At 44.6% G+C, this 15,088-nt stretch overlaps 2 long non-coding RNA genes across 2 annotated transcripts; both read left to right on the forward strand.

Moving 5' to 3' along the window:
• The first annotated feature begins 2,329 nt into the window (after window positions 1-2,329).
• LINC01544 (long intergenic non-protein coding RNA 1544) lies at window positions 2,330-8,849 on the forward strand. The gene is made up of 4 exons (NR_103449.1): window positions 2,330-2,454; window positions 2,875-2,974; window positions 5,221-5,302; window positions 5,940-8,849. It is a non-coding gene; the product is annotated as a long intergenic non-protein coding RNA 1544 (long non-coding RNA).
• A 1,085-nt stretch (window positions 8,850-9,934) lies between these two features.
• LOC124904315 (uncharacterized) lies at window positions 9,935-10,801 on the forward strand. The gene is made up of 2 exons (XR_007066396.1): window positions 9,935-9,997; window positions 10,692-10,801. It is a non-coding gene; the product is annotated as an uncharacterized LOC124904315 (long non-coding RNA).
• Window positions 10,802-15,088: the final 4,287 nt, after the last annotated feature.

The following is a 15,088-nucleotide window of genomic DNA, read 5'->3' on the forward strand; positions in this document are numbered from 1 at the left end:
TTGGCATGGGAAATGCTGATTCAGGGGCCGCACTTTGAGAACTACCACAGTAGATAATGCATGGTTTTATGCCAGGGTGTGGGTGTGTGGTGGAGGGAAGAAAACGGTGGGGTGGGAGCAGGCTGGGGGTGAACATGGATATAAGTGATAAACTTTGACCTTTTCTTCACAGTCCTTAAATTCTGCATTCATTATTTCATACAATCTAAACTTTATGTATATTCTTGATTACAATACACTTTTCTAAAGAATTCCCATCTTTGGGTCTTGGGATCTGGTGGCCTGAGTTGCTTCACACCAGTTTATTGTTACCTCAAAAGTTTACAGACTACCACCCAATCCAACCCACTGCCTGGTTTTGTACAACTCATGAGGTAAGAATGGCTTTAATATTTTCAAATGGTTGACAAAAAATTAAGAGACGAATATTTTGTGATACATGACAATTACATGGAATTCAAAGCTCAGTGTTTATAAATAGCTTTAGTGGAACACAAACATGCCCATTTATCGACAAAGCATCTGTGGCTGCCTTCCTGCTACCACAATAGAGATGAGTAGTTTTGACAGAGACCCTGCGACCCGCAGAGTCTAAGATATTTAGCATCATCTAGTGATACTAGAAGACACTAAATATTTTAGCATTAGGTCCCTTACAAAAAATGTATTGACCTCTGGTCTATCCTCTCCTTATTTCTATGCTCTGATTTCCCCCAGTAAGATTTAATTCTGCAGGTTTTCTCACAGTCAGTATGACTCTGTATTTTCTTACTTAACTTTCACTCTTTAGAGCAACTACTTGGTGGTCTTCTAACCGTGGTGGGAGATAGTTATTGATCCTGGAATGTTTCTCAGAGGCATCCATCTACACTTATCTACCTTGTCCTCAGTCAGAATTGCCCTGCCTGTACACATTTTAAGAAACAAACCAATCAATTTCCCTAGGAAGTCCTGGTATGCACTGAAATTGAATATGATCATTCCCTGGACAACCAGAAATGTTTAATACAGAGCCTGGAATCAGAAAATTCCCAGCTTTCACTCAGAACAGTTTCCTCAAAGCACCTGTATTTCTTCCTATGTAAAAAATTGTTAACTCATACATTTAAACATAGAGTTGACCCTTGAACAATATGGGTTTACCTTTTGCAGATTTTCTTCTGCCTCCATCACCCCTGAGACGGCAAGACCAACCCCTCCTATTCCTCCGCCTACTCAGTGTCAAGATGACAAGGATGAAGGTGTTTATGATGACCCACTTCTACTTAATATAGTGAATATATTTTCTCTTCCTTATGACTTTAACATTTTCTTTTCTCTCACTTTATTGTAAGAATAAATCATATAATACATATAACATACAAAATATGTGTTAATCGACCTTATGTCATCAGTAAGTATTCTGGTCAACAGTAGGATATTAAATTTTGGGGTAGCCAAAACTTACATATGATTTTTTTACCACACTGGTCGGGGGTGGGGGCTTCATACCCCTAACCTCTACATTGTTCAAGGATCAACTATACACACAAAAATGATTCATGTCTCTTAACAAACATTCATTATTTATTTATTTATATATTTTTTGAGACAGGATCTTAGTCTGTCACCCAGGCTGGACTGCAGCCTGGGCTCATGCAATCCTCTTACCTCAGCCTCCCAAGTAGCTGAGACCACAGGCGTGTACCACCACACCCAGCTAATTTATTTGTGTATTTATTTTTGTAGGGACAGGGTCTCACTATGTTGCCTAGCTGGTCCCAAACTCCTGGGCTCAAGCAATCCTCTCACTTCAGCCTCCCAAAGTGTTGGGATTACAGTCATGAGGCACCATGCCTGGCCCTTTAACAGACATTTAACATGATTTTCAGACAGTTCGTACCTCTTCATCTACAGCAAGGCTTAACAGAATTTCAACATAAAACTTTCTGTGAAGCTTAGAATAGGTGCAGGAAATGTTCAGAGTTCACGTTCTAGTTCCCACTGAGAAAAGCATGTGCACCAATATGTTTCCCCACCCAAGCATACACTGGGGCCCACCTGGAAGTCATACAATTCTTTGGCCTTCTGGGCTGATTATCAAATGGTCTTCCTCTAAGGCCACTTAACAGCCAGTACTAAGGCACAGATGTTGCAGAACTTTGACAATAACCAGTCATTCTTTCTGAACAAAAAACAAATTTCTTTGCTTACGTGATAATATTTTAGAGTCTGCGTGAAAGTCTTACATTCAGAGAAACGCCACAGTTCTGGCACCAGGAATGAAGGCGCCATCTGGCCCCTCTTGGGCTCCTTGGCTTGAATTCCTGGGGTCATTGTTACACTCAGCATTCTCTAGGCGAAGGAGAACAATAAGAGGCAGGTAAAGCTGGAGCCCGTAACAGGAGGAAACGTGAGCATTGAAAACCCGCCCTTTGGATGAACTGACCACAGCTGGACAACACCAGTGCCAGGGTATGTGGAAGGTGGGGACATCGGAAATCTGGTCATTGTCGTGCAGTAGGGGAACTGCAGTGTTTATATAAAGATTTCTCTGATTGTGTATGCTCTTGATGGATGATTCTTGGCCTATGTGGAAATTCTATGAGCTATACTTAAAGGGGCAACTCTTTTCCCAGTAGGGGAAGCAGAGAATAAATTTCTGGGAGAAAGAAAGAGGCAGAAAGGATATCTTTGGGAATAAATTGCTTTGCAGAAGCTAGGTCCTCAGGAACAGGGTTTCTACAAATAATTGATTTAGTGCCTCAGTAATTAGCTACTACAGAAAAAACTGCTATAGAGGATGGCATTCCACATCCCCCCACTTTCAGGTCTGGTTTTTAGGTGACACTCTATTTTCCTTGAACCCCGTAAACCCACCGTTTTCCTTGTCAGCCAGGGTTCCAAGCACTGCAGAGATGAAGCACCTTCTTCCAGGAGTTCCTGGAGTTCTCAGAAGCCAGAGTGGACTTGTTCCTCCGTTTTATTTGATGAGGTTTGTATGCTTTCCAGATCCTGCCTGAGTGGTTTCTGGTGTGGACTCAGGGGCAACAGGCAAAAGTAATAAAAAGCAGATTCCATCTGCTATTACTCTGGGGTAAGCAGCCACAGGATTAAAAGGACCCTGCTCATTCAAATGCCAGCCAGGGAATTGGGCACCATGGAGAGATGCCACCCCTGCCACCTGACATGGCTACTTCTGGAATCAAAGAATTGGCAAAAAGAAAATTCCCTATCTGAGGAAGCCAGTTCTGTAACATGGGCCACAAATTAAACGTTTCTCAGCCTTGGTGGTCTAATTTTATTTAGGAGATCATATGTGCATTTCCTTCCTCCTTGCTCCTTGACTGGGTTTATAAAACAATTGTCTCTATGCAGTCATCATCCCGGTGGGGCAGGGAGGGGAAGGCTTGCCACAGCTGTAGCAATAGTCAAGGCTGGTAAACAGGTCGGAAGAACAAAGAATGGGAATATATCCCTACGGAGCGTCCAGGATATGCGGGGCTAGCACTTCATGAGAGTGATGTTATTGAATCCTCAGCCAATCTCCCTCAAACCAGGCACAAATTCAAGGACACCCAGGAATAAGGACTGGGGATACAGAATTCCAGTTCCCTTTTTGGGTGGAAAGAAAATATACACCTTTGCCAAATTTACTGTAAAAGCAGTGGTCATTTTCTGAATTCTCAGACATCTATAATGGAGCAGGAGGTATTTAGGAGGAAAAACCAAAATTTGCAGACGTTCATGCAAAAAAATTTCCTTAAGCCTTATTTTGTGGGTGTGGGTCAAAGTACGGTGTGTTACTCTGACAATGATGACTTTTCCTGCTATTTGCTGATAGTGCTTTAAAAGCAGAAAAGGATGGCAAATACTTGTAGAGCATGAACTGAAATAAAGATAATGCATCTTAAGTGTTTAGGACGTGCCCTGCACAACCCTGAGCATGTGACATTGCTAACTCATCTAACTTTCACAACAACCCTATGAGTTAAGTACTATCAGGAATCCTATTTTATAGAGGAGGACACTGAGGCATAGAGAAGATTATCCAGCCTCCAAAGCTCATAAGGCCAATAAGTGCAATAGCCAGGATTCAAACTCAGTCTGACTCGAGGGTAACTGCTCTTAATAACTACACTATTTCTTTTCTTTTTTTAAAATTATACTTTAGGTTCTAGGGTACATGTGCACAACGTGCAGGTTTGTTACATATGTATACGTGTGCCAGGTTGGTGTGCTGCACCCATTAATTTGTCATTTACATTAGGTATATCTCCTAATGCTATCCCTCCCCCCTCACCCTACCCCATGACAGGCCCTGGTGTGTGATGTTCCCCGTCCTGTGTCTAAGTGTTCTCATTGTTCAATTCCCACCTATGAGTGAGAACATGTGGTGTTTGGTTTTCTGTCCTTGTGACAGTTTGCTCAGAATGATGGTTTCCACTTTCATCCATGTCGCTACAAAGGACATGAACTCATCCTTTTTTATGGCTGCATAGTATTCCATGGTGTATATGTGCCACATTTTCTTAATCCAGTCTATCATTGATGGACATTTGGGTTGGTTCCAAGTCTTTGCTATTGTGAATAGTGCTGCAATAACTTAAACAAATTTACAAGAAAAAAATCAAACAACCCCATCAAAAAATGGGTGAAGGATATGAACAGACACTTCTAAAAAGAAGACATTTATGCAGCCAACAGGCACATGAAAAAATGCTCATCATCACTGCATCAGAGAAACGCAAATCAAAACCTCAATGAGGTACCATCTTATACCAGTTAGAATGGCGATCATTAAATAGTCAGGAAACAACAGGTGCTGGAGAGGATGTGGAGAAATAGGAACACTTTTACACTGTTGGTGGGACTGTAAACTAGTTCAACCATTGTGGAAGACAGTGTGGTGATTCCTCAAAGATCTAGAACTAGAAATACCATTTGAACCAGCCATCCCATTACTGGGTATATACCCAAAGGATTACAAATCATGCCGCTATAAAGACAATAACTACACTATTTTGCCCCTGGACCTAAGGAATTATACCATAAAGAAATACAGAGCTCACTCTACAGGTCAAAGGGAATGAGCAAAGACAGATTCTGCCTGATTCACCTTCCCTTGTCAGGGCCAAGAAAACCTACAGTGACTGCTGTCAGCACCAGGTGACATGTGAGACATATGTCTAATTAAAACAAAACATATCTTTTAAACTCAGCACACAATTCTCTTCGCAGGTTCTAAATATAGCTGGGCAAGGCTTCGGATTTTAGTGGGAGATGGCCAGAGGCGAAGCAACTGATAAAAGTAGCTGAATAGGCAAGTGTGTGGTCTGCTTTCCATTTCTGTTGGAGTTCCTATTTTATTTATGTATTTATTTATTATGTATTATTTTTATTTTTTATTTTATTTATGCTCCTTATTTATTTATTTATTTATTTGTTTATTCTCTATTTTTTGGCTTAACAACAGGAATGAGCTTGAAGATTTCCTTTTTGAAGGAATACGGGAGATACTCCTGAGGTCACGTATTTGATTAATGTTGAGATGTTTGCTCAGCCTCCCTTATCAAGGGGAGGGCACCTGCGTGGGGTGTGGAGCATACTTTGCAGATGCCAAGTGCCCAGCAGCACCCAACGGTGTCTCTCAATACGTGATCCAGAGACAGAGGCTCATTCCCCCACCATGGCACCCCGACCCTGGGAGTCTGGGCCTGCCTGGGTGTGGGTGATAGGCAGCCAGCCACACAGAGGGACAGGCAAAGTGTTGCCAGAGCAATTTGAATGCATCCCCACTCCACCACCCTTGTAATATGGAATGATCTCCCCATCTTTCCTTCCTGAGCTGGGAGGTGGGTTCGAGTGAGCACAGCCGGATACCATGGTAGGGCATACTCAGAGAAGGCCGGTGGGGAGAGGCTGGATTTTTCATTTCTTTCTTGTCTTTCTTGTCCTAGCTCTCCCTCTCTGAGCTAGGTGCAAGCTCCTGACGTAGGAAGCGATCCCTCCTTGCCACAGATAACCCACGTAGCCAGGTGCTGCCAAGCAGCTTCCACCTGGAGGAGGGCAGCTGCTCTGCGCATGACCAGTAGCTGTGGATGGCATCGTCGAGGCATCTGGAGGAAGCTGCAGCCCCACAAGGCCCCTGACCCCTCTGCCTTTCCCTCTGCTGGCTCCTCTTCCTCCCTCTTTCCCTGCTGTCCCCTGTAGAGAACTTTCTACCAGTCCACACACCAACCTAGGTGCAGCCCCCCTGCGTGACTCCCTCCCTGACTATCATAACCATGGCCAGCAGTATCTCCACATCTCTGCCCAGATCCCCCTGGGAAGGCTTATCCCAGGCCCCAGGTTTGGGGCAATGCCCAGTGGCATCGGATGGGGTCCCCCTTGAAAGGAAGCACAGAAAGACTGAGCCATCAACGTAGTCCCCTCCATCACCTGCCACTGTCCCCAAAATCTCCCACACCGGAAGTGTTTAGATTGTCTAAGGACAATATTGTCTAGGGTTTGAGGACCACCCCACAGCAAAAACACTAGAAAGCTAGTTCCAAAATGCAAATCCCAGGCCAAGCCCCTCACCTCCTGAGGCAGCATCCCTGGGTATAGATCTCAGAAATCTGCAGTTTTAATACAAAGGCCCCCTAAACTTAAAGAAACAGCCTGAATTCACATGGGCACACCTTACCTGAGCAGGCAATACAGTGACAAGGGTGGAAACAGAGGGGACGAGACCTGACACTGGGAAGGCCTGACAGAGGGAAGGAAGGAAAGCTCTCAGGCTAAGGGCGCTGGGAACCCCACTCTTCCCTCTAGGGAGTTGCCGTTCCCTGAGGGGCCTGAGGAGCCTCCTCCTGAAGCCCCAGCTATTCAAATTACACCTTTTCTTATTAGGACATCAGGAGGTGTTGCCCCTTAGCTTTCCATTCTAACCTCCTCAATGTAGGGGCCTTGCTGGTGTCGAGGACAGAGCGGAGGCCTCAAGGGTATGTGCAGTCTAGGTGGCCTTGGTGGAGGGGCAGGATTCTACATTTGGGAGGGGACTTCTTGCTGAACTCCTTCCAGATGGGTCAAATGGGGTAGACTGAGGGAGTGGTGTGGGAGGTGGTAAAGAACCAAGTAGGGACTGGATGGATCCTGGGAGTTTACAGGGCTGCCTCGGAGAGGGAGGGTGCTGAGAGAGAGGAGACCAGGGTGGGCACCAACGCGATCCCTGCAGGCTATGAGTGTAGGATCAGAGAGGGTTAAGGGCCAGAAGCCCCTGTGTGTTTAGGACTGTGGCACCATGGGTGCATCCCCTGAGAAGCGAAGCTCAGGCAGGAGCAGCAGTGGGCAAAGAGCCTGGTGGTGCAGGTGCAGGCCCTGTAGAGGAGGCAGTGACAACACCCAGCCCAGGCCGACTCTCTCTGCCTGTCCCCTGAGTCCCCTGGCACCTCTCCACATCTGCTCAGCCCTCCCAGTTAACCTAGCACTGGTAGATGGTTGATATGATTTGGATCTGTGTCCCCAAATCTCATGTTGAATTCTAATCCCCAGTGTTGGAGGTGGGGCCTGGTGGGAGGTGATTGGATCATGGGGGTGAATCCTTCATGAATGGCTTAGCTTTATCCCCTTAATGCTGTTCTTGTGGTAGTGAGGGAATTCTTGCAATATCTGGTTGTTTAAAAGTGTGTAGCACTTCCCCCCCAACACTCTTTTGTTCCTGTTCCAACTGTGTGAAGTGCTCACTCCCCCTTTGCCTTCTGCTATGACTGTTAAGTTTCCTGAGGCCTTCCCAGAAGCTGAGCAGGTGTCAGCATCATGCTTTCTGTATAGCCTGAGGAACCATAAGCCAATTAAACCTCTTTTCTTTAAAAATTACCCAGTCTGAGATATTTCTTTTCTTTTCTTTGAGACAGGGTCTGGCTCTGTCACCCAGGCTGGAGCGTAGCTGCACCTCTGCCTCCAGGGCTCAAGTGATCCTCCCACCTCAGCCTCACAAGTCACTGGGACCACAGCACGTGCCACCACACCCAGCTAATGTTTGCTTTCTTTGTAGAGACAGGGTTTCACCATGTTGCACAGGCTGGTCTCAAACTCCTGAGCTCATGCGATTCTCCTGTCTTGGCCTCCCAAAGTGATGGGATTACAGGTTTGAGCCACTGCACTCATCCTAGGTATTTCTCTATAGCAATGCAAGAAAAACTAATACGAAGGTGAATCCATCTGCAGATCCAGACTCCACAGGAAGCCAGCAAGTGTGATTGCGGGCTCTGCTGCATTTCAGGGGCGGTTCTATACTTGGCACGTGCATGCTTTCCCCAGCCTAGCATATTAGCCTGCTGGGGCTACTATAACAAAATACCACAAACTGAGTGGCTTAATACAACTGAAATGCATTCTCTCACACTTCTAGTGGCCAAAGTCCAAGATCAAAGTTTTGGCAGGGTTGGCTCCTTCTGGACACTCAGAGGGAGAGTCTGTCCTGTGTCTCTCCCCTGGCTTCTCCTGGTTGCTGGCAACCCTTGGCATTTTTTGCTTATAAATGCATCCCTCTTATCTCAGCCTGTACTGTCACGTGACCTTCTTCCCTGTGCATCTGTCTCTTGTCCTCTTCTTCTAAGGACAGCAGTCATATTGGATTAAGGGCCCAGCCACTCCAGCATGACCTCCTCTTAACTTGATGGCATTCAAAGCCATCAGGTTTGGAAACAAGGTCACATTACCAGGGACCGGAGGCTAGGACTTGAAGATACCCTTTGGGAGGAGACACCTGCAACGTTTGGATTGGAGAAGACTCAGTGACCTTCTGGGATGTCGTTTACCCTCCCTGGGCTGCAGCTTCCTTGTTTGTAGAGGAAGAGGTTAAATTAAACAATCTCTTCCAGGTCTCATGGTCTTCGAATCTGTTTTCTCCTCTGCTGTTTTCTCAGCTTCCTTCTCCCGATGGAAATAGGGGGCCAGTGTATTTCCCCTGCCTCCCCTCCCTCTCAGCCCTGCTTTCAAGTCTTAGAGCTGGCAAGGGCTTTGTGCAATACTCCAGGTCCTACCCTCAATTTCTGGTGGAACAACAGAATAAGCGGTCTCTGCATGCACACAAATCCCTTCAGCTCCGTCTGGGCCCAGCGGCAGCTGACCAACCAGCCCATCACACACCTTTCTGCAGGCCCCTTCCCCGCCCGGCCTCTTTCTCTACTCTTTTTGTTTATTTTTATTCCCCAGTCTCTCATCTCTCACCTATACAGTCAAGTTTCCAGCCTCTCTTTCCACCCACTGTTCAGCCATCAGTCAGCCTAAACATTCTACTTTCTGCCTTTCTCCCCACAAGCAACTTTGTTTGCAGAGAACCCACAGAGTTTGACATGTTGTCTGCAGACTCTCTGTCCACAGGCTGCAGGTGTAGTGGAGCCCGCTCCAGACTGAGACAGAGGCCCAGGTTTTTACCAGGCTGTGCTGCTGCCAGCCTGGTGTGACTACCCATCCCACCCCCTTCGATACCTGTGCCTCAGTTTCTCCCATGGATAATGGAGTGGGACTCAATGGGAGTAACAGACTCCAAGAACATGAATGGGGGTGAGCAGGGACCACCAAACACGTCCTCTGCCCATCTCATGTCCGACCCACTCACCTCCCAAGTAACAGGCACAACTTCACCAAATCTGTGGCCCCCCAACTGGGTGGATAAGGCCAGGACTTGCTTCTGATTTGCACAGCACATCCCCCCAGCATTGGAATAAAAGCTGCTCAGGATGGCCCTCGAGATAAGGTTTTCAGAGCTCTAGGGATCCAGACCCAAAACTGCGGGACCTCTGAGGAAGCACAGGTTCCTGCACTGAAGGCAGAGCACTGGCCATCTATTTTGACTCTAAATATTTGGAGGAATTCTGCGAGCTGTTTTGTAAGCTGCACTGAGGTAATGCTGTGTCATGGAAACCAGTGCAGGCAAGATTTCTAGGGAGAGGCAGTGTTTACCCTTGTTACATGGACTAGAGGTCAGCAAAAGCAGAAGCCCCTCAAGAGCGTGCGCAGAGCTGCAGAGGTAAGCTGGCAGGTCCCAACCAGTCTCCAGCAAATTTGGCCATGAAATGAGGAATCCCTGGGACCTCCGTTTTTCTTGGCCATGTCCCTTGCTGGGCACCTATATGCGTGATCTTATTTCAGCTTCATGATTCTTGCAGGCATCATTATCAATGTTTTTGTTGCTGTTTTAACTGGCGGGGTGGGCGGGGAGAGAGGGGAAATCACGTTCCCAGAGACATATAGCTAAAGAGAAAGTGAAGATTTGAGCCTGACACCAGCCATGCTTTTCCTGACATTCCTGGCAGTGTGAAAGGAAGGACAGCAATATGGTTTTCTTGAAGGGGTAACAAGTTTCAGCAAATAATTTTGCTTATATCTTACGAGAGAGGCATGGATGTTTGCTGGGAGGGAAAGGAGCTAGTAGCAAGTGGAAGAGGAAAGACTCCAAAACCAAGAGGAGGGCTCTTCTCTCCCAGAGTTGAGGGGGGAAGGATGGGAGGGAGGTAAAGGTCAGAAATCTCTCTTTATTTGGAATGGTTTGCACAGCGGCTCACAATCGGAGCTTCCCTCTGCCTCAGACAGGCCTCTTCTCTAACAGGTGTAATGCAGTGATGTTTTCCTTTGGCTTCCTTGCTGAGTCATGACTAGATTTGCCTGGGAAAGCTCAGATATTACTGATTCAGTGTTCATTCCTTTTTCCTCCTTACCACCAGCCTTCAACACTCCATATGACGCCTTCAATAGGAAGGGAGGAAGATAAATAACATGGAAACAGAGAGAATCACCTGGACCAATTTTGGTATTAAAAAACCTGGAAAAAGCATTACATGTTTGTCTTTAATTTTTCTGCCCTCAGAGTGAATCTTGGTCATCGTTACAGAACTGTAGAGCTCCAAGATGATACCTTTTATTTCTAAGGATCCTGCATGCAGTGTGAGAAGCTGGCTGACGTTGCTAGCTCCACTTCAAAGGTAAAGAAACTGAGTCAGGCAGAGAGAGCACCAGATCTGTCTGAGCTCAGTGGAGGCGAACAATCAGAGACTCGACTGAATAACAGCCTCAGAAAAAGGATGCAGTTTAGTCTTCCAGCTACGGGCTAAGGTGTCTTATTTTTTCTAGAGTAATAAAAATCAGAATTTTAAAGTATATTCCCTTACTTACCCTGGAGGGCTCAAGAACTCTTTCTTCTTGCTTTTTATGACTCCGATTTTACCTGTAGAAGTAAGTGGCACTATAAATCCCAAACAGCTTCCTACCTGCTGTTCTTCCCTAGTGAGGCTTGAAGTGATTACTAGATATGGTTTCAGGCTCTGCAAAATGATAGGAAACTTAGGGAGTTTGCTTTCTTCTCAGATTTACCAGGAAGAGAGGGTAATTTAAATGGCATTTCATTATCTCAAAAGAGATGACAATAAATATATTCTTCTGTTACTGAGAACAGACAAGTAATTTCTATTCTTGGAGATCTTTCCATGGGAATTAGAGTAAAACTTCCAAGTTCAAACATGTTGCCTTTCCTTATTAGAAAATCTTGTACTAAATTGTCACTCTTTAAAACCAGTCACAGTTGAAACTCATCTCTTCCTTAACAATGGGTGGAGGTAGAGAGGAGAGGAATTCAGAACCCTACAGACCCTAATGCCCATGAAACCCCCCTCATGCTTGACCACTTTAGAGGCTGTCTCCCCACTACCAGATGGGAAGAAACTGGTTGACAATCTGCAAGTTGTCTTAAAGAGGACAGCACCTGCTCCAGGCCCCAAGTTATTAAGAAGTACACGTTAAACCAGAATCTCATTACGGCTGTCAGAATTATAATGATTGACAGCTGGAAAATCTTATCATGCATTTCCGCAGGATTGCAGCAAAGCTTTGATTAGCATTTAGGCATTCACATTTGCAGAAGCAGCATTTTTATTTGCTCTTAAATAATTTTTTATAACACTCAGACCCAGCACTGAAATGCTATAGTGTACTGATGAGGAGGCTGGTGCCACACAAAACCAAGATGGGCTTTGTTTTGTTTCTCCTCAATATTATCCTGGCTAGCATGACCCTGGTTTCCCATCTCTTGGATAAAGAAGGAGCTGAACAGAAGTTATTCAGCTTGTGATTTGCGCCAGGAGATGACACAGACTTGCTCTTGACCTCTAAAAAGCACTTCCAAATTCTCAAGTGTAATAGAAATGAACAGCACAGAGGATGGTTTTAAGATAAATAAATCAAAGTGCCATCTTAATTTACAACCAAGAAGGGGCATGTCTATACATTAGACTAAATAAAACCCCATGGTTACAAGAAAATTAGCATATGGCCAGTAAAGGTATTTTCATATAATCTCGGCTTAATATTTAAAGTCATTGGTAACTAATGGTGAAAAATGAGATTTTTTTTCCCCAAAACTACTCCTACTGGCAGAGAATATGGTACTATTGTATCATAAAGGCTATGAGCTCCACTTATTGCCATAGTTTTTGGAAATAGTAATTGTGTTGGTTTTTAGCTATTGCTTCCCAGATCCAAATCCACTATTCCATACTGTGCTTTATGATTCTGGCATTGGGATGCCATAAATGTCATTTCTCCTTTTTCTATGCTGCTAACTGATATAGAGAGTTTTATTTTCCTGATGCCTATTGCAAATAAAGAGATTTTTAAAATCCAATATTTGGAGTGTTTTATTCCCACCAAAACTCTTCCAAATGGGGCATTTTATGGAAATGTGATGTTTGATGAAGCTTCTAGGGTCAGGGACCAAACACTGAGTAGATGAGAATGCAGCAGCTCCCTCTGGGAAAGACCTGTTCATTCTACTAATCTCATGATAGGTAGGTAATTGCAGAAAACTATTGCAAATCTCCAAGACTGCAGAAGACTATCTATTGCCTGAAATACCCTGGAAGTAAGTGGCACCACTGGGAGCTGTGGTGCTTGCAAGGCCCTGAGGTATCTCTTTGATGGTCTTAAACAACAGGGCATGATTGCTCAACTTCCCCTCAAAAGCACCACATACCAGAGCCCTAGACACCATTCCTACCCAGAGGCTGGGGCAGTGAAAGAAGTCCTGGTGGATCAAATGGCCGAGGAGATATGGCCCATTGGGAGCATCAAATCTCATCTCTAAGTCCCTGAGCTGAATTTGATATTTTCCATGTTAGCAATTTTTAATATATTGACATTCACGATGGGCAACTCCTGAGACTTTCTCGTGAAATTCCACTATTCATAAATACTATTGATAATTGGCAGGCCACTATAGGATTTTCCCTGTAAAATAAAGGAGAACATGTGGAACCAGAGCCACACTAAGATGCAGATGCTAGTAAGCTACTCTGAATGTACGTGACCAACCTCCACTCCCCAGACTCTTAGGGCCAGAGATTCAGATCATGTCTCAGAAAATTAAACTCTTAAGTTGTGGCTCTTCAAGGTCATTTGCTAGTAGTGCCCAAGAATAGTCTAGCAAATAGTCAAAGCCAGGAAAATTAAGTCTACAAATGCCAAGGGTCTAGTCTGTATATTTACATTGGTTGGTCTACTTTGATTAAAATCTAGTAACTAAAGCTCATATAAAGTGAGAATGGAGCATGATGCATTGAAAATATAATGAAATTTGGAGTTAAGTTTTACATATAAGTCCTTGGGCATAGCATTTGGCCTCCCTAAGTCTTTGTTTCTTCACCAGTAATGTAGAGCCAAGAAATATCTACTTCTCCGTATTGTTGTGAGGATAAATGCAACATTTTATGATGAAACACTCTACCACAAGGAGAATTTCAGAGCCCAGGAACCACTTTAGAGCTCTTGATAAGCCCCAAGATAACATAGTGCCTGGCATATAACAGATGTTTAATAAATGTTTGTTGAATGAATGAATAAATGAATGAATGAATTCCATGATATTGAAAAGTCCTGACAGCATTGTTGTGTTATAAGAGAGTTTATGTAGATCTTAAAAGAGCCCATGTCAAAGGAGAAGCAACCTAGACACTGAAAGGATTTGGACAATTTAAAGTCTGAGATTGTGTTGTAATTCATTTAAATATGCTCTTTCTTCTGCAAAGCTTTAAGGACTTTCCAGGAATTATATCATTAATCATGAATCCTTCTGATAAGAAAAAAAACATACCAGGTACAGCAGCTGCATGGCGGCTAAAGAAGCTGAAGAACAGCCTTCTTACGTTGATTGGCCATCCTGGACCCTGAGCCTTGTGGTGCTCAGAGATTGGCTGTTTCCAGAAATTAGGGATAAAGAATGGCAAAACGTGTCTTTTGGCTATAAATAACCTAACCACATTTCCACTGGCAGGCCATATTCTTATTTCTTCTTCCCTCTTCTGGAGAACAGAAATGGATGTTATCCAATGACTCTTGGTTATACAGTTTGGCTGTGTCCCCACCCAAATCTCATCTCCAATTGTAATCTGAATTGTAATCCCCACATGCTGAGGGAGGGACCTGAGTTTAGGTGATTGGATCATGGGGGTGGTTTCCCCCAAGCTGTTCTCCTGATAGTGAGTTCCTACAAGATCTGGTTGTTTGATAAGTGTCAGGCACTTCCCCCTTCTCTCTCTCTCCCTCTTTCTGTCTCCCCCACCTGCTGCCATGTAAGACGTGCCTGCTTCCCCTTTGCCTTCTGCCATGATTGTAAGTTTCCTGAGGCCTCCCCATCCAGGCAGAACTGTGAGTCAGTTAAACCTCTTTCCTTTATAAATGACCCAGTCTCAGATATTCTTTATGACAGTGTTAAAACGGACTAATACACTTGGTATGGTATAGCCTGATAGTAAAATTTGCTCAGTAAATATCACTGGAGGCTCTGGATTCTCTGTAAAGCAGCTTCAGTATTGAGACAAAATAGGGCAGGGAGATCATTTGACCAATACCACTCAATCCTCTTATTAACATCCATGGTCTCAGAGCTGTGTGTCTAATGAAAACAAGACCCCACTGCTTAGATTGCTACTAGGGAAAGTGATAAGGTGGGCTTGTTGCTGACTACCCCCTCTCCCCACCAGCTCTATTTCACTACCACTGTGAATTAGTTACAGGCCAGATGAATTGGCCAAACACTATCAGTGAGAATGTCATTGCTTCCAGGAATCCCAAG

This window comes from Homo sapiens, chromosome 18 (assembly GCF_000001405.40).
Source record: "Homo sapiens chromosome 18, GRCh38.p14 Primary Assembly".
Classification (NCBI taxonomy): domain Eukaryota; kingdom Metazoa; phylum Chordata; class Mammalia; order Primates; family Hominidae; genus Homo; species Homo sapiens.